We start from the raw sequence: 20,279 nt of genomic DNA on the forward strand, positions 1-20,279 counted from the left end.
TTGGAAGGCCAAGGTAGGAGGATAGCTTGAGCCCATGAGTTTGAGACCAGCCTGAGCAACATAGTGAGACCCTGTCTCTACAAAAATTAAAACAAAAAATTAGCAGGGTGTGGTGGTGCATACCTATAATCCCAGATACTCAGAAGGCTGAGGTGGGAGGATCGCTTGAGCATGGGAGGTTGAGGCTGCAGTGAGCCATGATTGTGCCACTACACTCCAGCCTAGGTGACAGTGAGACCCTGTCTCAAAAAAAACAAAAAACACCACTATTTTTGTTAAGTAATGTATTTTAAAAGGAATACAAGTAATGCCCTGAAAAGTACAGATCAAGAAAAGAATGCAAATGAGACAAAAATAATGGTTATCAGTTTGCTGTGTATCCTTACAGAAGTTTCCTGTAAAAACATGCATATGTACATATATGCATATATAGAAATAATTAGTTTTCTTTTTACAATTCCTTTTGTTTTTAAGTCTTCAGGTGTAGCAATGAGACAAGAAGACTAGTTCTATATTAGCATGTTAGCAAATAAAAATTCCATTCTTCAGAGATAAGTTTTGTCAAGTTTCTCTCATCTTTCTGCTTGCTCCTCCCTTCACTCTTATTCTGTTCTTACCACTCTTCTCCTTGAGAGGAGAGAACGTATAGTGTGGTGGATTGCAACGCTGGCTTGGCTATACATTAGATTTAACTGGGAGCTTTGAGAAATATCCACATTCTGGCTCCACCTTCCAGATTCTTAATTAATTGGTCATAATGATGCAGGGGATGTGGGAGGAGAACGTTCTTTATCTTAGCCTGCATATGGAAGCTTGCCTCAGCTTCAGAGTTCAAATATGGTTTGCGGGAAAGCAATGGTTGAATCCAAGGGGCCATCTTCCTCAGTTTCTCTATCTTCTAGAAGGAAGGGGTGTGTGCGTGTGTGTGTGTGTGCGCGCGCATGCACATAGGTCTTTGTAATCCTTTAAATTCTCTAAGAAATGTACCACCACAGATTTCTAATTTATTCTAGTATTGGTTCATCCATAGTGTTTGTATACTTTAATTCTAAAGAAAAATAATATTTGCATAGTACAGATTAGATAGACAAGAAGATGACTGGTAAGGCAATATAGTATTGTAGTTAACCACACTGATGCTAGAGCCACAGTGCCAGAGTTTTAATCCTGGCTCCATAATTTATGTATGTTGAGCTTGGACAAGTTAGTTTTAGCCTTTTTGCCTCGTCTATAAAATGGGGACAGTAGGCTGGGCACAGTGGCTCAAACCTATAATCCCAGCACTTTGGGAGGCCAAGGTGGGCGGATCACCTGAGGTTGGTAGTTTGAGACCAGCCTAACCAACATGAAGAAACCCTGTCTCTACTAAAAATACAACAGTTAGCCGGGTGTGGTGGTGCATGCCTGTAATCCCAGCTACTTGGGAGGTTGAGGCAGGAGAATCACGTGAACCCGGGAGGCGGAGGTTGCAGTGAGCCGAGATCAAGCCATTGCACTCCAGCCTGGGCAATAAGAGGGAAACTCCATCTCAAAAAATTAAATTAAATTAAATTAAAATAAAGGGACAATAATCCCCACCCCACAGAAATGTGAGGATTAAAAATACTAGTAGATGTAAAGTGCTCAAACAGTATTTTATGCATGGTAAATGTACAATAAATAACAGTTAATTAGTTTATTCCTTTCTTGTAGTCTATTTTCTAACATTTCTTACCCCTTTCTTGCTTATTCCTCCTGAAGTTAATGCGTCTTCTGATAAACTAGAGTAGGTGTTAACTTTTTTTTTTTTTTTGAGACGGTGTCTCACTGTCTCCCAGGCTAGAGTTCAGTGGCACTATCTTAGCTCACTGCAAGCTCCGCTTCCTAGGTTCACGCCATTCTCCTGCGTCAGCCTCCTGAGTAGCTGGGACTACAGGCGCCTGCCACCACGCGCGGCTAGTTTTTTGTATTTTTAGCAGAGACAGGGTTTCACCATGTTAGCCAGGATGGTTTCGATCTCCTGACCTCGTGATCCACCCGCCTTGGCCTCCCAAGGAGCTGGGATTACAGGCGTGAGCCGCCGTGCCCAGCCTTTTTTTTTTTTTTTTTGAGGCAAAGTCTCGCTGTGTCGCCCAGGCTGGAGTGTAGTGTGATCTTGGCTCACTCCTGGGTTCAGGTGATTCTCCTGCCTCAGCCTCCCGGGTAGCTGGGACTACAGGTGTGCGCCACCACACCCGGCTAATTTTTTGTTATTATTAGTAGAGATGGGGTTTCACCGTGTTGGTCAGGCTGGTCTCAAACTCCTGATCTTGTGATCTGCCCACCTCAGCCTCCCAAAGTGCTGGGATTACAGGCGTGAGCCACTGCGCCCGGCCAGCTAATTTTTTTTGTAAGGGGCCAGATAGTAAGTACTTTAGGATTTTGGGGCCATATGGTCCCTGTTGCAGATATTCAACTCTGCTGTTATAGGGTGAAAGCCATTTACATAAGCAAATGAGAGTGATTGTGTCTCCTTTATTTATGAACACTGAAGGTGTCCTTAAATATAGAAACAGTCCTTAGTTCACAAGCCACGCAAAAACAGACAGTGGCCCAGATTTGGCCTGTGGTTCATAGTGTGCTGGCCCCTGAAGTAAGGTAAACAAACCTGCACATTCTGATAACTATTTTAGACGTCTTTTCTTTCTTGGACATTCCTTCATTTTTAAATTTCTCTGTACATTGGGATACTCTAGAAAGTTAATTTTTTGGCATCAAGTTTAGAACTTTAAAATTCTACTCACAGCTTTGAGCTTAAGCTGTTTATTAGCACTATTTGAAACAGTGAAACTTTGTGAACTCTCTCCTCCTCAAACAATGACATATATAACTGTATTTAGGGTTCTTTGGTTGCAAGCAACAGAACCATCATGGTTCATTGGAGATTTTATTCTTTGGTACAGAATTTAACTTAAATGCCTTGTGGATGTACATGAAACTGAGTCCTTTATTTCAGAGTCATAGCAGCAAGCAAATGACAATCCGTGCTTATCATCAGCACTGGTGTGTAGTAGGTCTTCTCTCAGAGAACTGGGCAGATACCTACAGAACCTATAAGACCATACACACATTCACATACCATACACACACATGCATACATTATGTAAATAAAGATACTTATTTCAAGGAATTGGCTTATGTGATTGTGGGGGCTGGAAAGTCCAAAATCTATATGGCAGGCCAACACATTGCAGATTCTGTAGCTGAAGCTGATAATGCAGTCTTTCAGTAGAATTTCTTCTTCAGCGAAACCTGAGTTTTGCTCTTAAGGCTTTTCAACTGATTGGATGAGGCCTACTCACATTATTGACGATAATCTCCTTAAAGTCAGCTGATTGTGGATGTTAACCACATTTAGATAATACCTTCATGGCAACACTTCCATCTGTTTGAATAACTGGGTACTATAGTCTAGCCAAGTTGACATGTCCAACTAACCGTTACATGGTTCAATATATATTTGTCCAATAAAAGGAAGAACAAATGGCTAAAATGGTTAATTTAAGCAGAAAAATGTTTATTTGGAGGATGTTGAATAACAGAATTTAAGTAAAAAGTGAGCACTTAGGCCTCAAGAAGTCCCAAGAAGAACCAGAGCAGTTTGCAGGGGTAGGGACCTAGGTAATAGTAAGGAACAATGCCTTCAGTGTACCACAGTCATAAAAAATCAGCTCTAGCCATTTTGCTTCCTCACATCACTCTAAGATTCAGCTTCCCGGGAAACTCAGCCTGATTGGTGTAGGCTGAGTTTAGGTCACATGTCTCCCTTGCCCAGTGAAAGGTGGGTACACCTTGATTGACATTCTCACCACAACTGCATTCAGGAAGACAAGGATTGTTTCCCAATAAAGTGTCACAAGGCTGTTACCAAAAGAAGGAGGAATACTAGACATGCACAAATAAAAGATATCCACTTCGCCAACTCTTGATATCTCACATAGATGGTCAGCTGGTAAAACTAACATGGATCAGAGCCAGATTATGTAGAATGTTACAAGGCCTGATAATGAGCTTGGGCCTTATTCTCTAGAATAATGAAACTTTTTTTGGGGAAGGGGGAGGGTCATAGATCTCTTTGAAATTTTGAAATTTTGGGGCCACATATTGGGCCCTCTTCTCTCCTAGAAGATTATGCTTATGCTTTAAAAAAGATTTGTTTTTGTTTTGTTTTGTATAACATTTCAAGAGTTTGTTTTACCTCTTGAAGTATATCCATAGTTGGTGGGAAAAGGAGCTAGTCTCAACCTGAAAAACAATCAGAATATTATATCTCTCTCAGCTTCTGATATTTGCACTGCTGATTCTCCTTAATCTCTTTGATTTCTCTTGGAGGAATTTGGTTAAGAGATGATGAGGGTCTTATTAACACAGTGTGGAAATAGGGATAAAAATAATTTGCAATTTAAAGAATTATTTAGGAAACAATATGCAGAACTAGCTCGACTGTTGATTATATATGGGGAGTACAGTCAAGTATGACTTATAGGTTTTTAGCTTGTAGGAATTGCAGGGGAAATATATAGGGCAGGTAGAAAGGTTGACCTTAAATGTGAGAAGGGACAGCCTCATCCTTTGAGTGGGACTTTAGGAAAAAAGATCATAGTAACTGGACTTAAGTTTATCAAGAAGGAAGGTAATGAGAGAGGAAGTGGAGTAGAGATTGGTAAAAGGATTGATGTGCAGTACTGAGGGTCCAGGTGAGATTTCAGACCAGGAATTTGAAGTAGTGACATCAGTTATATAATAATATTTTCTCCACCAATGAAGAGAAAGTTTAAGATTCACTAACAGTTGATGTGTACTGGCTGATTTGCGGGTGAAACAACAGGAATACATGGAATAGAGGAATCTGAGCAAAGACTAACTCAAAGATGGTGGTGTATAACTTATAGAACTCCCATTCTGTGTTGGGCGCATAAATGATCTTTGTAGATACCATTTCATTTACTCAAATAACCCTGCGAGCCAGGCACTGTTATCCCTGTGATGAAACTGAGGCTCAGAGAGGTTAAGACACTTGCCAAGGATTACAGAGCTAGTAAGTGGCAGAACTGGGCTTTAAACCCAGGAAGCTAGATTCCAAAGTCTTGTGTTCTTAACTACTAAGCTACACTGTTGATCACCCTTGGAGTCGTGGGTTAGGAGAAAAGGAAGGGAAACAATAAGGTGGGAGAAGATGAAGGACTTAGGGCTCAAAGCTGATGCTTCAGTGAGGTGGAAAACCTGTGCTGTGGGGTTTTCCTCAGATTACACACACGTGCACACGTGTTTATATCAGGTGCTGAAAAAAAGATAATTAATTTAGATATTTACCAGGAATTCTTTCAGAAGCATTTTTAATGAGTCATATTTGCACTGCACAATTCTTTTTGCTTCATTTTTATATAGTTGAAGGCAGTAAGGAATTCTTGTACAAGTAAACATCTTTTCCTTTTGTACCCCTCATCACTGCGAATTTGATAGAACCCTTAGTAAATGACCAGGTTGTTTTTTACACTTTTTTTTCTCTCCCACAACGTAACATGGGTTTGGCAAGCTTTAAAAAATGTTAGTATGTTTGTATCCACTAGTATACCTCTGACCATTTAATAGGAGATCCCTGCCAATTAGAGCTAGTGATGTTTTGTTCTAATTTGGAGAGACAGGGTGTGTCTGTCTTTAAATTCTCTGTCAGTTTTCCTTTTTGTAAAAAAAAAAAAAACAAAACAAAACCTCAATTCCCAAATTATAAATAAATTTGAGCAATTGCAGACTAAGGGAATAAGAATGAATGAATGAATGCATCCATTGGAGTAGAACATCTTCTCTTTTTCTTTCTTTTTTTTTGGACGGAGTCTCACTCTGTCCCCTAGGCTGGAGTACAGTGGTGCAATCTCGGCTCACTGCAAGCTCCACCTCCCGGGTTCACGCCATTCTCCTGCCTCAGCCTCCCGAGTAGCTGGGACTACAGGTGCCCGCCACCACACCCGGCTAATTTTTGTATTTTTAGTAGAGACGGGGTTTCACTGTGTTAGCCAGGATTGTCTCGATCTCCTGACCTTGTGATCCGCCCGCCTCGGCTTCCCAAAGTGCCGGGATTACAGGCGTGAGCCACCGCGCACAGACGAGTGGAACACCTTCTTAACACAGAACTAGTTGATTTATTTTTTCCTAATGCTTGGCTTTTTCCAAGTTTTTGTTACCCAAGATAACATTAGTCAAACTAGCACTTTGAGAAAAGGAGTTAAAGTTTTTTTATTGTTAAATTTGGGTAACTGGTCATATTTTCCTTTGTCTCTTACTGTCTCATACCCTTAGATCAGGGGTCTCCAACCCCTGGGCCACAGACTAGTTAGTAAAGGTCCATGGCCTGTTAGGAACCAGGCTGCACAGCAGGAGGTAAGCAGCGTTGAGTGTTACTGCCTGAGCCCCGCCTCTTATCAGATCACTAGTGGCATTAGATTCTCATAGGAGTGCAAACCCTATTATGAATTGCATATGTACATAATCTAGCTTGCACGCTTCTTATGAGAATCTAATGCCTGATGATCTGTTGCTGTCTCCCATCACCCCCAGATGGGACTGTCTAGTTGCAGGAAAATAAGCTCAGGGTTCCCACTGATTCTACAGTATGGTGAGCTGTATAATTGTTTCATATCATTATTATTATTACAGTGTAATAATAATAGAAAGAAAGTGCACAATAAATGTAATGCGTTTGAATCATCCTGAATCCATCTCCCACGCCCACTCCAGTCTGTGAAAAAATTGTCTTCCATGAAACTGGTTCTGCCAAAAAGGTTGGGGATCGCTGCCTTAAATTATGTAGATAAACGTAACAGATATTTGTGGTTATATCAGGGACTATTATAACATTTTTTCTGTATTAATCTAGATATTTAGCTAAAGCTCAACATGCTTTACAGATTGATATGGCTAATGTTTCAATTGTTTGCTTCTTGCTACTGTAAGGTTTCTTAGAATTAGGGCTCTAGATCTTTTTTTTTTTTTCCTTCTTTTAAATTAAGAGATGAGGTCCAAGCTGGTCTCAAACTCCTAACCCCTTCCCACCTTAGCCTCTCAAAGTGCTAGGATTACTGACATGAGCCAGTGTGCCTGGCCAGGGATCCAGATCTAATACATGTTAAGATCATAGCTTTTAGAATGTTTAGTCATAGGTATTTAACTGTAGTTTCTTCCTTTGAACCCTGAACTTCAAGGCGTTTAGTAACACTTTTAAGGTCTGTGTTCAGGTGGTTTTTGGTTTGACTGTAAATACTTTTTTCTGTTTAACATTTCTTAGTTCAAATCTAGGTCACAACCTGTCTGTACTCTTGTAGAGAATTTTATTTTTTAAATTTTATTTATTTATTTATTTTTCACAGTCTTGCTCTGTTGCCCAGGCTGGAGTGCAGTGGCACAATCTTGGCTCACTGGAGCCTCTGCCTCCCAGGTTCAAACAGTGTGTGTGTGTGTGTGTGTGTGTGTGTGTATTTTTTTTTTTTTGACTTCCAGTGACCTTTGAACTTTTTATTGGCTTCCTGCTCCCCAAAGGGTACCCTGCTTCTGCTGGCTTAATTCTCAGAACTTTGGTGTCATTGGTCTCAGATACCACTTTGCCATCCACTATCTGGTGGATGGTCGTCTTTTGGATGGTTCGCATGGAGTTGCTGCTGTCCAGGGCATCACCAAGATTGAAGTCCTTGCCATCTTCCAGCAGGTGGTGGTAGGTGGCGATCTCAGCCTCTAGTTTGACCTTGATATTCAGCAGGGCCTCGTACTCACTCCTGGGCCTGGCGTTGCCCCTCTGCCCGGGTCTGTGCCAGCTCTGACTGCAGTTGCAGCAGGATCCCGTTTAGCTGCTCCATCTGCAGGAAGTAGAGGGCCTCCACCTCCCTCAGTCTGTTCTACAAACTGGCCTTCACATTTCTCACTGAGTCCAGGTCAATCTTTAAGGACTGGACTGTATGTCTCAGCTCTGTGAGCGTCATCTTAGCCTCTCCAGCCTCAGCAGACTGCGTGGTGACCACTGTGGTGCCCTCCTCAATCTGCTGAGACCAGTACTTGTCTAGCTCCTGTCGATTCTTTCAAGCCAGCTCATTGTATTGGGCCGAGATGTCTGCCATGATCTTGCTGTCCTGAGATTTGGGGGCATCTGCCTCCATGGTCAACCCAGAGCTGGCAATCTGGGCTTGTAGGCCTTTTACTTCCCCTTTATGGTTCTTCTTCATGAAGAACAGCTCTTCGTTGAGAGCCTCGATCTCTGGCTTCAGCTGCAGCCAAGTGACATTGATGTCATCATTGACCTTGTGGAGTCCGTGGATGTCACTCTCCACAGACTGGCACATGGCCAGCTCTGTCTCATACTTGACTCTAAAGTCATCAGTAGCAAGATGGGCATTGTCAATCTGCAGAACGATGTGGGCATTGTCCACAGTATTTAAGAAGATCTGAGCTCTCACGTCCTCGATGGTCTTGAAGTAATGGCCCCAGTCCCTGAGCTGGGGTCCCTTCTTCTCCAGGTGCTCCTGGATTTTGCTCTCCAGCTTCCGGTTCTCGGTTTCCAGGCTCTCACTCTGTCCAGGTAGGAGGCCAGGCATTGAGGCGTTGCATGGTCTCCTCATTCTGGATGCCTCCCATTCCTGCCAGCCCCTCGGCCATCCCTGCAGCCAGACCCCAAGCTGTCCCAGAAGCTGGTGGAGTGGGACACGGAGATCTGGGAACCAGAGCCCCCAGCACCTGGATAGACGCTGGCCAGGCGCCATAGCTGGCTGCCTTGACAGAGCTTAGGGACTGGTAGTTGGTGGATAAGGTGAAGCGAGTGGTAAAGCTCATGCTCTCTGGGGAGGAGAGTGAGAGGATAGGACTCAGGCTTTGCCGACGACCAGAATATTAGATATTATCATTGCCTAATATCCCTTTCTTCTTTTGCTGTTGATAATCAAAACTTTATTACTGATTCTGACTTGATTTTTGAGGTTTGGTTCCCATAGAATTTTTAGCAGAGAGGTTAGTATTTAAAGGGATATTTAATACATTATTTCTTTTAGCTAGAATAAGCTAAAGGTGCAAAAGAATGAATGTTGTCTTAGGTTCCTAAGACCTGGAAAACCGGTCTGAATGCTTTTATGCACTGGGTTAACCTTTATGCCATTCAGAATGTGAGACCAGTTTGGTCTGATTTTCATTCCTCTGTTAGGCTTAAAAAAGAATCACCACACTGTTCATTGATGTCATTAGGATTATTAGGAAAAATGTTTGTTATGAGTATGAAGACCCAGAGAACTCTTGTTTACACTTATTTTAATAGTGAAAACTTGGTTTTGATTTAGAATTCTTCTAACAATATATATAAGTAATATTTGTGGAGTGGTAGAGTGCTTTTTTTTTTTTTTTTTTTTTTTTTACATTTACTAAGTTTGTCTCATTTGATCTTCACAATTCTGTGAAAAAGGTAGGACAGATAGTGTCACTCCTACTTTTAAAGATAAGAAGTTTGGGCTTCAAAGAAATTCAGTGACTTGCCCTGAGATAAATAGCTAGTTATGTCTGCTATCTTTTGCATTAGTTTTCATTCTCCTATATCAAAGAGTTTCTATGCAGAAAGACTTCTATATGATTTACTTATAATTTCTAAAATATAAAATTCAAATTGTTGAATTTCCGGCTTTTCTGCATTTACCAGAAAAGTATGCCATTTAAAAAAATAGACCATTGAAAAAACATGGAATGCTTCATGAATTTGTGTGTCATTCTTATGCAGGGGCCATGTTAATCTTCCCTATATCATTCCAATTTCAGTATATGTGCTGCCAAAGCAAGCATGACTTAATTTTTTTAGAGCAGTTTTAGGTTTACAATAAAACTGAGCAGATTTCTCGTATATCTTCTGCCCCCACACATGCATAGTCTCCTTCATTATCAACAAATCCCCTACCAAATTGGTACATATGTTACAGCTGATGAATGTACATTGACACATACTTATTATGCAGAGTCCATAGTTTACCTTAGAGTTCACTTTTGGTTTTGTATATTCTATGGGTTTGGACAAATGTAAAATGATGTGTGTCCACCTTATAGTTTCTTTCTTTTTTTTTTGAGACAGAGTCTTGCTCTGTCGCCCAGGCTGGAGTACAGTGGCGCGATCACTGCAACGGCTCACTGCAACCTCCGCCTCCCAGGTTCACACCATTCTCCTGCCTCAGCCTCCCAAGTAGCTGGGACTACAGGCACCCGCCACCACGCCCGGCTAATTTTTTTGTATTTTTAGTACAGATGGAGTTTCACCATGTTAGCCAGGATGGTCTCGATCTCCTGACCTCGTGATCCGCCCGCCTCGGCCTCCCAAAGTGCTGGGATTACAGGTGTGAGCCACTGCGCCCGTCTTCACCTTATAGTTTCATACAGATGGTTTTGCTGCCCTAAAAGTCTTCTGTGTTCCTGTCTTGTTTGTTTGCTTGTTTTGGCTATATATAAAGAGGAACAGATAGCAAGTTCTTCCACATTGTATTACTGTAATTTTAATCTTATTTGTAGTTGTGGGATTTAGAAATACTTGATTCAGAAGTATGTCTTTAAGTTAATTGATTATAATTTTGACTCTTAAGGGCATTATGAAAAAGTCTTTTTCTGGTTCTTAACAAAATTCTTTCAAGTTAGCTAGTTTCAAAAAAGAAAAATGACTTTGTACTTTTAATAATCACTTAAAAAACCAGTACCCTTTATATTGCATAATGCCTATGGGAGATATATATATAATTTTTTTTTTTTTTTTTTTTTTAGACAGAGTCTCGCTCTGTTACCCAGGCTATAGTGCAGTGGCACGATCTTGGCTCGCTGTCACCTCTGCCTCCCAGGTTCAAGTAATTCTTGTGCCTTAGCCTCCCGAGTAGCTGGGATTACAGGCATGTGCCACCATGCCCAGCTGATTTTTTAATTTTTAGTAGAGATAGGGTTTCGCCATGTTGGCCAGGCTGGTCTTGAACTCCTGACCTCAAGTGATCTGCCTGCCTCGGCCTCCCAAAGTGCTGGGATTACCAGCATGCGCTGCCACGCCCAGCTAATGTTTTTGTGTTTTTAGTTGAGACAGCGTTTCACCATGTTGGCCAGGATGGTCTCGATCTCTTGACCTCATGATCCACCTACCTTGGCCTCCCAAAGTGCTGGGATTACAGGCGTGAGAGACCGTGCCCGGCTCCAAATATATGTATTTTTTAATTGACTTTTTTTTTTTTGTGCAAAAAGTTTAGTTCAAGTATTTTTATTTTTATTTTTTTGAGACGGAGTCTCGCTCTGTCACCCAGGCTAAAGTGTAGTGGTGCAGTCTTGGCTCACTGCAACCTCAGCCTCCCAGGTTCAAATGATTCTCCTGCCTCAGCCTCCTGAGTAGCTGGAACTATAGGCTTGTGCCACCATGCCCAGCTAATGTTTGTATTTTTAGTAGAGACCAGGTTTCGCCATATTGGCCAGTCTCGTCTCGAACTCCTGATCTCAGGTGATCCACCCACCTTAGCCTCGCAAAGTGCTGGGATTATAGGCCTGACCCAGTTCAAGTATTTTTAGAACCTCTGTTCTTGTATTCATAGACCCTGTGCAAATCTCTATGTGGAAATACAAAATAATCCTTACCTTGCATTCAGCAAAGTTGACGTTGACAGCAAAGGCAAGGCTAATTATGAAACAGTTAGAGGAGAGGTCACCAAACTTTGGTCCAAGACCTGTTTTGTATGGCCCTCAAGCTAAGAATGGTTTTTACTTTTTAAAGAGTTTTTTTTTTTTAAATAAGAAAGAATAATATGTGACATAGGCCATATGTGGCTCACAAAGCATAAAACATTTACCATCTAGCTCTTCATAGATAAAGTTTGCTGACTATGGATTAGAAGAATATATATCATATAAAATATAAACAGAGACCTTAGGGAAACGCAAATCAAAACCATAATGAGATATTATTTCATACACACTAGGAAGGCTGTAATTTAGGGGAAAAAAGGACAATAACAAGTGTTGGCCAGGATGTAGAGAGATTGGAACTCTCATACATTGCTGATGAGAATGTAAAATGGTACAGCCACTGTGGAAAACAGTTTGGCAGTTCCTGAGAAAGTTAAACATATGCTAAAGAGATGCAATGAAAAAGAATAAATAAATAAAAATAAAAGAAAAATATAGAGTTATCTTACGACCCAGCAGTTTTGCTGCTAGGTATATACCCAAGAGAATTGGAAACGTATGTGTACACTAAAACTTGTGCAAGACTGTTCATTACAATAAACAAAAAGTGGAAAGAACCCAAATGTCCATCAACTGATAAATAAACAAAATGTGATATAGCCATACAATGGAATATGATTTAGCCATAAAAAGGAATGAAATACTGACACAACTTCAACATCGATGAACCTTGGAAGCATGCTAAGCACAAAAGCCAGACACAAAAGGCCACAAGTTGTATGATTCCATCTATGTGAAATGTATAGAAAAAGCAAATCTTTAGAGACAGTAAGTAGATTAGTGGTTGCCAGAGACTGTAGGGAGGGCAAATGGGGAGTAACTGTTCATGGATATGTTTTTTTTTGGGAGGGGTGATGAAAATATTCAGAAATTAGATAGTGATGGTGGTTATAACAGCCTTGTGAATATAATTTTTAAATCCACTGAATTGTGTACTTGAAAATGGTGGGCCAGGCGCGGTGGCTCACGCCTGTAATCCCAGCACTTTGGGAGGCTGAGGCGGGCGGATCACCTGAGGTTGGGAGTTTGAGACCAGCCTGATCAACATGGAGAAACCCCCGTCTCTACTAAAAATACAAAAGATTAGCTGGGCGTGGTGGCACATGCCTGTAATCCCAGCTACGTGGGAGGCTGAGGCAGGAGAATCCTTGAACCGGGAAGGCGGAGGTTGCAGTGAGCCGAGATCACGCCATTGCACTCCAGCCTGGGCTACAAGAGCGAAACTCTGTCTCAAAAAAAAAAAAAAAAAAAAAAAAAAGGTGGATTTTACAGTGTATGAATTATATGTCAACAAAAGAAAATTTAACCAGAGATTAAGTAGTATAAAAGAGGTAATGAGAGGTCAGGGAGAGAAAAGAAGACTGTGGGCATGAATTAATGGATACAACTCTGAGGTTGGGGCTTGAAATGCACCTCAAAAGGCACAGAGGATTTGGATAGATAGAGGAAGTGGTTAAGGCATTACTTAGGAAGGGGTATAAACCAAGATATTATTTTGACATAAGAGAAGTGGCAAGATGTAAGTGGAAGAAAAGACAAGGCGAGTCTCTTGTTTTCATGGGGCTTCTAAACTGGCATATTAACTGATCTGGCCTGCTAAGGATAATGCTTTGCACAATTATTTTCATGGGATAAATTGCATATCCTTCTAGTCTCAGGCAAGAATTTTTTATTCCAGCCAGAGAGCAAGAGCCTAAGGACTCTCCGCCATGGTATTCTTAACGAGTTACTGTAAGGATTTTAGTTCATTGCATATGCTTTGTGGAATTTGCCATCTTTTTTATTTTTTTTAACCTATTTTAAATCATACAAAGTGTCTATCAGGTTTTGTTGTTACTTCAAACAAACCCCCCTCTTAATACTTTCTTGTTCTTGCCACTTCACACTTTCATGTATACTGTTTTATTTAATCCTTCCATCACACCTGAGTTAGGTGGTATCATTCCCATTTTAAAGATGAAAGAGGCCATATAATAGAGTGCTTAGGAGCCAGGATGGGAGCACTGGAGGCAGAATGCCTAGGTTCAAATCCTCGTTCTGCCATTTACTAATTGTTTTGTGAGTTTTGTTGAGTTATTGAACTTCTGTAGGTCGTATGTTTTCTCTTGTCCAAAGTGGTGATTATAATAATATTATAGAATTGTTTTAAATAAATTGACTAAAAGTAAAATTCTTAGAAACATGCTTGCACATAATAAGTCCTCAGTAAGTGTTAAACTGCTACTGTTGGTTATAGATCATGAGAACTGAGTAAGTTTAAGAAGTCCAGAGACTTCTACCTGATAAGTGGTAGAGCCAGTGATTAAATATAGGTGATCTGAATCTAAGTCCTACTTGCTAATTTATCTAGTTGCCTTTACCATATTTTATTATATGTTTATTTACTTATTGGACATAAAATTATTAGCCTTCTAAACTTTGATTTAAATGTGGACTGGCTGAATGCGGTGGCTCACGCCTGTAATCTCAGGACTTTGGAGGTTGAGGTGGGAGGGAATTGCTTGAGGCCAGGAGTTGGAGGCTGCACTAAGCTGTGATCGTGCCACTGCACTCCAGCGGTGACAGAGTGAGACCCTGTCTGAAAAAATAAATGTGGGCCAGACCATAGACCAAGTAGTTATAGCAAAAGAGAGTTTCTAAATTACTCACAACAGAACTTCCATTCTTAAACTAGTCTTTTGCTTTAATCCACTGGTACCCAATCCTTAGCAGTTATAAACCAAACTCATGAGCTATGAGGGGAAAATGACCATGGGAAACATAGATTTAATGCAAAATAACTGAAAAAAAAGAAAAAAAAACAATGCAATAAAACAAAAAAAAAAACAACAGAAATTAACTTGAGCGTGATAAACAGCTAAAAGCAAACAATATCTGAGGGAAAACGGGATAATCAAAAAAAGTGGCTATTCTTAATAAATAGAACAGACTGCTTGATAGGAACAAACTTTTTTTAAAGATAAATGAAAAAGAATACGCATTCACAAAAGAAAAAAGCACATGACTGATAAATATTTGAAAACTTTAACCTCACTAATCGGAGAAACTTAGAGTAATAAAATTTTGATAATACAGTTAACTAAATAGGAACATTTATGTTGAAACTGTGCTATTAGGGATATGGTGAAATGGGACCCACACATTCCTGATTGGAATGCCAGTTGATAAAACTAATCTCCATGAAGAACCTTAAAAATGTTCATAGTCTTTTTTTTTTTTTTTTTTTTTTTTTTTAAGACGGAATCTCGCTCTGTCGCCCAGGCTGGAGTGCAGTGGCGCAATCTCACTGCTTGCTCACTGCAAGCTCCGTCTCCTGGGTTCACAGCATTCTCCCGCCTCAGCCTCCCGAGTAGCTGGGACCACAGGCGCCCACCACCACGCCTGGCTAATTTTTTTGTTTGTTTTTTTGTTTTTTGTATTTTTAGTAGAGACGGGGTTTCACCATTCACAGGATGGTCTCGATCTCCTGACCTTGTGATCCGCCCACCTCGGCCTCCCAAAGTGCTGGGATTACAGGCTGAGCCACCGCGCCCGGCCTCCTAATCTCTGATTAATTAATGTTCCATGTGAGAATATAAGACAAAGAAAAAAATGACAACTGGATAAAAGTGTATTATATAAATAAAGATTCATTGCAGCATTATCTGTAATAATAGAAAACACTTTGACATGCCCAGCAAGAAGGATAGTTAAATTACTGTACATTTATTGCAATATCTGTTAAAATAGTTATGAAAAACTTCAGTGACCTTGGAGGGAGATGAAGTAATATCGGCGGGGGTGGGGGTTGGTAGTAATAAAAAACAAGACTCAGAATTGCAACACCTTAACCTCTAATGTCAAGCAGTAAACCTAGTCTTGAGAACAGTTCATTCTGGACAAATACTTACTGAGTTGCTCTTAAATGTTTGATTAATAAGTATCTACTATAAAAATAAATAAGGCAAAACCCTTTTTGAAACCACATTCCCCTTTCCCTTGTAGTAGTGACCACCTGATTTTTCTATTCCTCCTTAAAGCAAACTCCTCAAAAAAATTGTCCATAATGCCATCTCCCAATTTCTTGCCTCCCAATCTTTCCTGAACCCAGTTGTGCTTTTGTCCTGGGTTATTACACTGAAATTGGTTTATCCAGTCTCCAGTGACCTCCAGTGGTCAAGTTCTCAGTCGCATCTTAATTTACATGTCAGCATTTGATAATTGATCAATTCTTCCTCTTTGAAATATTTTCTTCTCTTTATCCCAAGAAACTATATACATGGTTCCCCCCCGCCACTGCCTCACTCACTAGTTGCTCTTTCCTGACCTGCTTTGATGGCTTCTCTGCTCTGATTGTTTTTTTTTTGTTTTAGTTAATATGGAGAATTGTGTTGTATTTTTTTATATTGTGGTAAAATACACATAACATACCATTGTAATTATTTTTAAGTATACAATTCAGTAAAATTAAGTACATTCACATTGTTGTGCAGACTTCACCACCATCTGTTTACAGAACTCTTTTCATTTTGTGTAACTGAAACTTGATTCCATTAAACAGTAATTCCCCATCCCCCTTCTCCGCCCCCAACAACCACCATTCTATTTTCTGTCTCTGAATTTTTTACTACAATAGGTACTTCATATAAGTGGATTAGGGATACCTATATGTCAAAATTGCAAACTTCTGTGCATCAAAGAACACATCAAGGTTGAGCGTCCAAAATCCATATCCATAATCCAAAATCCAAAATCCATAACTTTTGAGTGCTGACATGACACCAGAAGTGGAACATTTTATATCTTTCCCCATGTGGGTTGCAGTCAAAATAGTAGTCAAAACTTTGTTTCATGCACAAAGTTGTTAAACATATTGTATAAAATTACTTTCAGGCTGTGTATGAAGTGTTTATGAAACAGTTTAGACTTGGGTCCCATTCCCAATAGATCTCATTATGTATATACAGATATTCCAAAATCTGAAAATATTTGAAATCTGAAGCACTTCTGTTCCCAAAGGGATACTCAACCTGTAGTCCAATTTATCTATTTTTTTCTTTTGTTGCCTGTGCTTTTGGTGTTTATCTAAGCAATCATTGCCAAATCCATTGTCATGTATCTTTCCTCCTATGTTTTCTTCCAAGAATTTTATGGTTTTGCTCTCTCACATTTAGTCTTTGATCCATTTTGAGTTAATTTTTGTATATGGTGGGGCCCAACTCTTCATTCTTTTGCATGTGAATATCCAGTTTTTCTAGCACCATTTATTGAAAAGACCATCCTTTCCCAATTGAATGGTCTTGGCCTCATTTTCAAAAATCATTTGACCATATATGTGAGGGATTTATTTCTGGACTGTCTTATTTTATAAATTTTAATATGTTGTGTTTTCATTTTCATTCTGTTCAAAATACCAATTTATCCCTTTTGATTTCTTCTTTGAACTATGGATTATTTAGAAATATGTTGTTTAGTTTCTAAATATTTGGGGATTTTCTTGATCTTTCTGTTACTGGTTTCTAATTTAATTCTGTAGTAGTCAGAAAACATACCTTGTATGATTTAAATTTATTCAAATTTATTGAGACTTACTTTATAATTTAGAATATGGTCTATCTTGGTAAATGTTTCGTGTACACTTGAAAATAATATATATTCTTTCATTGTTGGATAAAGTACAGTCATACATCACTTAACAGGGATACGTTCGGAGAAATATATTATTAGGCAATTTGTTAAATTAATCTCTGAGTAGTTTCTTTTTAGATACTTTTGTAAGTGATTTTTTAAATTTTATTTTTCACTTCTTTGCCAATATATAGAAATACAGTCACACATCACTTAACAACATATCTCCTAGCTGTGATCACACCACTGCAGTCCAGCCTGGGCAACAGAGTGAGACCCTGTCTCTAAAATAATTAAGTAAATAAATAAAGTAAATCATTCAATTCAACCTTAGCTTATTGTAACTTTTTTACTTTATAAACTTTTTGACTCCTGTAATAACACTTAGCTTAAAACACAAACACATTGTTGTCTGTTAAAAAAAATTTCCTTTCTTTAGTTCCTTATTCTATAAACTTTTTTTCTATTTTTAAAATTTTTTACTTTTTAGACATTTTTGTTAAAAACTAAGACACAAACACACATATTCACCTAGGCCTACACTGGTTCAGGATCATTAAGATGTCACTAGGCAATAGGAATTTTTCAGCTCCATTGTAATCCTATGGGACCACCATCACATATGCGGTCTAAACAATGCGGATTAAAACAATGTCCTGCAGTACCTGGCTGTATTCTGTAAATGTTGATTAGATCCAATTGATTGATGGTGTTGTTTACTTCAGCTACGACCTTACTGATTTTCTGCCTGCCGGATCTGTCAGTTACTGACAAGGGTGTTGAGGGCTCCAGCTATAATAATGGATTCATCTGTTTCTCCTTGCAGTATCCATTTTTGCCTCATGTATTTTGACACTGTTGTTAGATGCATGCACATTAAGAATTGTTATGTCTTCTTGGAGAATTGATGCCTTTATCGTTATGTAATACTCTTCTTCATACCTGATAACTTCTCTTACTCTGAAGCCTGCTTTGTCTCAGAATAATATAGCTACTGTTAACTTTCTTTTTATTAGTGTTAGCATGATATATTTTTCTTCATCTCTTTACTTTTAATCTCTGTACAGTAGTCCCCACTTACCCATGGAGGATACATTTCAGTGTCCTCTGTGGATGCCTGAAACCGCGGATATAGTACCAAACCTTATATGTACTGTATTTTTTCCTGTACATACCTATAATAAAGTTTAATTTATAAATTAGTCACAGTAAGAGACTGACAGCAATACCTAATAATAGAACAATTCTAACAATATACTTTATTAAAAGTTATGTGAAAGTAGTCTCTCTCTCTCAATATTGTAATATTTTTCAGATACCTGTTGACTGGGCCACTGAAATTGCAAAAAGCAAAACTATGGATGGGGGGGTCTACTGTATTTATATTTAAAGTGGGTTTCTTATAGACAACATATAGTTGGGTCTTGTTTCTTTAGTCCGTTGTGACAGTCTCTTTTTTTTTTTTTCTCTTATTATTATACCTTAAGTTTTAGGGTACATGTGCACATTGTGCAGGTTAGTTACATATGTATACCTATGCCATGCTGGACAGTCTCTTTTAATTGGTGTTGGATTAATATATATCTACCATATTTGTTACTGTTTTCTATTCATTGCCCTCCCTTGTTGTTTCCTTTTTTTGCCTTCTGATTTCAATTGAACATTTTATGTTACTTCATTTTTTCTCCTCACTTACTGTATTATACTTGTTTTTACTTTTTTTTACTAGTTGCCCTTGAATTTGCAGTATACATTTACAACTAAGCCAAGCCCACTTTCATATAACATAGCACTTCATGGGTAGTGCAAGTACCTTGGAACAGAATATTCTTAATTACTTACACTAGTCCCTTATAACATTGCTGTCATTCATTTTACTTATCCATAAGCTATAGTCACCTAATACCTTGTTGCTGTTATTTTGAACAAACTGTATATGTTTAGATCGATAAAGGATAAGACAAGTAAAAGTAAAGTTTCTGACCTAAGTAGTTTTCCTTCTTTCTGAAGAAATTTTCACATTTCTTGCAAGGCATGTCTGCTGGTGACAAATTCTCTCCATTTTTGTTTGAAAATGTGTGCATTTCTCCTTCATTTGGAGGATAGTGTCACTTAATACAGAGTTGTAACTTGGTGGTTTTTTCTGGGAACACTTTAAATATTTTACTTCACTCTCTTCTTGCTTTCCTGGTTTCTGAAGAGAAGTCTGATGCAATTCTTGTCTCTGTTCTGCTATAGGTAAGATGTTTTCCCCCCCTCTGGCTTCTTTCAGCATTTTCTCTTTGCCTTGATTTTATGCAGTCTGAAATATACCTAAGTGTAGATGTTTTGGCATTTATCTTGGTTAGTGTTCTCTGAACTTCCTGGGTCTGTGGTTTGGTGTCTATCCTCTCTTTATTTTTTAGCAGTCTTTTTTTTCTCCCAACTTGTCTCTTCGTTTGGCCCTGTCTTCAAAATGTATGTGGAAGTTAACCAATTCTTACTACCTGCACTGCTACTCCTTTGGTCAACATTCCTATCTCTTGCATTATTTCAGTTGCCTTCCAGTTCTTCCTGATTCTGCCCTTGACCTTCTCTTTTACAACCAGAGAGACCTTTTAAAAATTTCAGTGGAAACTTGACATCCTCTGCTCAAAACTGTCCAGTGGCTTCCCACGCATACCAAGTAAAAGCTGAAGTCCTTACCGTGGCCTAAAAGCCTGTATTTAGCTCTCTATTTAATATCTTACCTTCTCTTCTCCTAATGACTTCCTCATTGTCCTCCAATTATAGTGCCCTACTTGTTCCTTATCGAAGTCACCAGGCATCTCAAGGCTTTTCTGCTTCCCTCAGATGTCTGCCCAACTCTGTCCTCTAACTGCCCATCATCTTTAGTTGTTTACTCAAACATCACTCTTCTAGATTATAAACCTACATGCCATATGGACTACGATCTC

General features: G+C 39.2%; 1 protein-coding gene and 2 pseudogenes across 6 annotated transcripts in view, besides 2 other annotated features; 1 reads left to right on the forward strand and 2 right to left on the reverse strand.

Annotated features, from left to right (window-relative positions):
- The window catches only part of RAP1A (RAP1A, member of RAS oncogene family), a 174,683-nt gene that overhangs the window by 98,707 nt on the left and 55,697 nt on the right, over positions 1-20,279 (forward strand). The gene's annotated exons all lie outside the window — the stretch shown is intronic.
- Positions 7,098-7,298: a silencer, noted in NCBI's record as "peak362 fragment used in MPRA reporter construct". NCBI's record gives its function as "represses an SCP1 promoter by STARR-seq MPRAs in K562 erythroleukemia cells {active_cell/tissue: K562}" and the evidence as "EXISTENCE:reporter gene assay evidence [ECO:0000049][PMID:32103011]".
- On the reverse strand, positions 7,508-8,882 carry KRT18P57 (keratin 18 pseudogene 57; annotated as a pseudogene).
- RNU6-151P (RNA, U6 small nuclear 151, pseudogene) lies at positions 9,716-9,822 on the reverse strand (annotated as a pseudogene).
- Positions 14,264-14,333: a silencer, noted in NCBI's record as "silent region_1187". NCBI's record gives its function as "represses an Ori minimal core promoter by ATAC-STARR-seq in GM12878 lymphoblastoid cells {active_cell/tissue: GM12878}" and the evidence as "EXISTENCE:reporter gene assay evidence [ECO:0000049][PMID:35858748]".

Source organism: Homo sapiens, chromosome 1, assembly GCF_000001405.40.
Source record: "Homo sapiens chromosome 1, GRCh38.p14 Primary Assembly".
NCBI classification, from domain to species: Eukaryota; Metazoa; Chordata; class Mammalia; order Primates; family Hominidae; genus Homo; species Homo sapiens.